General features: G+C 45.7%; 1 annotated feature.

The window, feature by feature from the left end:
* Positions 296–345: a silencer, noted in NCBI's record as "silent region_1132". NCBI's record gives its function as "represses an Ori minimal core promoter by ATAC-STARR-seq in GM12878 lymphoblastoid cells {active_cell/tissue: GM12878}" and the evidence as "EXISTENCE:reporter gene assay evidence [ECO:0000049][PMID:35858748]".

Here is a 2,368-nt window from a genome sequence, read left to right as displayed (position 1 = left end):
CGCATACACATATCCAAAGCCTGGACTTGACAGCTTTATTTTCCATGTAAATCTTATTATTTAAATAGGACCAATAAGAAACTCTCCTGAAGCTTTGGAATGGGAAGCAGCGACTGAGCCTCTTAATTTCAGGGAAAAAAGTTAGAAGGTTGTGTGGTCTCAGAAGACTGGTTTGCCATTTTAGGTGGCCACACTAACAAGTGCTTGCCATTAATAGTGCAGAGAAAGCCAGTGCGCAGGGGGAGAAAGTGAATGTGAAAGACAGAAGCAGAAACGGCACAGAAGGAGAGAGACAGACGTGGACTATTGGCAGCTTTCCAGTTCCTGTTAGACACAACTGTCATCCTAACTGGCCTGGCCTGGCCGAGCCACTCCTTTATAATTCACCCCAATTTTGTATTTTATTGAGTGGCTTGTTGTGCTCACAGTTAGCGTGCTGTAAACCAGGAATTATCATTAACTCTTCTTTATAATACATCACATGGCAAATAAATGGTAGAACCTGAAATTGACCCCAACCTGGCCAATCGCAACTGCCCTTGCCCTGCCTGGTTTCTAAGGTGCCTGCTCTTTCTTACTTAGCATCCTGCTGGGTCCCCTTCTCCTGCCATGGCATATGTTGGATGTCAGGTGACTCATCTTCTTCTGTTGGGTAGCCCACAGAAGTGACAATGGTTTACCCACAGGCAAGGACATGGGAGGTGGAGGAAATAGGCATTGAGGTCATATAATTGAAAGTGGAAGGCTGGGCAGGGCTTGTCCAGCAGGTAAGACCAGACTCCTCCAGCCACATGGTCATCAGAAGGAATAAAGCTGCTAAAGAAGGTGTGGCTGACAGGGCCTGGTCAACTCAGGAGGCTTAAGTGAGGCAGTAGCAGAGTCAGTGCAGGAGGCCAAAGATCGGATGGTTCCCAAATGGTGCCATTTACCTAACAGGGTTGGCTAACTCCAGATTTCCTACAAAAGCTGAAGAGCACCTACTGTGCAACCAGCCCCGTGCCAGGCACTGGGGATTCAGTGATGACACAGGCTGAAATGATACTCCTGCTCTTAGGAACTTACAGTCCAGTGAAGATGGATGTAGTGAACAGGGAATTATAACTAATTAAGTTAATTAATACAGGTGAGCAACACAATATTAAGGAGAAGTACAGTGTGTAGGGGGAGGTACAGTGGGGCAGTGAGGTGATCACCACAGCAGCTCAGCATGGCCCAGTCCAAGAGGGAGTCCTGGCCCTCCAACAGCAACAGCTATAGACCCTTCAGATCAGGGGTAGAATTTGTCTTGGGAGTCAGTCAGGGGAGACCCACTACTAGGGTCAATGGTCTAGTCCACTCAATGGCAAGGGAGATGAAAACTAAATTTTGCAGATTCTCTTTGGATTTTATTTTTCAACGTACTCATTGGTTGGTTGTAGTGTTTGGCATCTTGGTCAAATCACTGGGAAACACTTTTTCAAATCCAATTCATACAATAGCTGGCTTGCTATATTACTAAAATTACTACAGTTGGTCAGATACGGATTTTAACTGGACATAGAACAGCTTGTCACAGCCATTTTGTGGGCAAGGGCAAGCAAGGTGAAGGGCAAAGACAGGCACAAGTTAGGAGCTGATGAAGTGGAGAAGTAGGCAGAAAATGGGCACACTTCCCGAGTCAGAGAGGGAGCAAACGGTATCAAAGAGAAACTCATCCAATTGATACAGAACTTCTATGCTCAGGACGCCCTAGGCACTGAAGAAGTGAAATCTAGAAGAAATTGACATTCAATTTAGAAGAATCTGATAGACATCATAGCTAAATGAGCAAAATGCTAAAGTAGCCTCAGAAAAGACATGGCTAAAAAAAAGCGTGGGGACATTCTGTTTTGTGATGAGTTCTTCTGGCAAATAGATTATTTGAGGAATCTATTTTTGGCAGATTGGTTAGTCAGAGAGTTGGGTTTCAAAATCATGGTGATTCAGGGTACTGTCCTGTTCCCCTTTTATTTGATCCACTTATTTGTCCAGACTCTTTTAGACGCAAGTGACAGAAACTCAAAACAGCCTTGGCACAAATAGTAAATTACAGGAAGGATATGGGAGCATCCTATGTAATTGAAGGAAGGATCTGGCAGCCAAACAGGAAGGTAGAGCTGCAGTTGGTCCTCAGGGGCCCCTGACTCAGGTCCATGCTGGATCCTTGCTAGTGTCTGCCTATCCTCGCTGGAGCACTCTGACTTCTCCCACAAGATACTGATGGATCCTGGGCCTCACACCCCATAACTCCCTCCCCGGGAACGGAGCTCACTCTCTGCCCAGCATTGGTTTAGAAATTATAGAGAGGTTCTCTGATTGGCCAGTCTGATCAAGGTACCCAAGAATGGCT

Source organism: Homo sapiens, chromosome 1 (assembly GCF_000001405.40).
Source record: "Homo sapiens chromosome 1, GRCh38.p14 Primary Assembly".
NCBI lineage: Eukaryota > Metazoa > Chordata > Mammalia > Primates > Hominidae > Homo > Homo sapiens.
The sequence above is the reverse complement of the archived record's forward strand: the minus strand, read 5'-3'. Positions and strand labels throughout refer to the sequence as shown.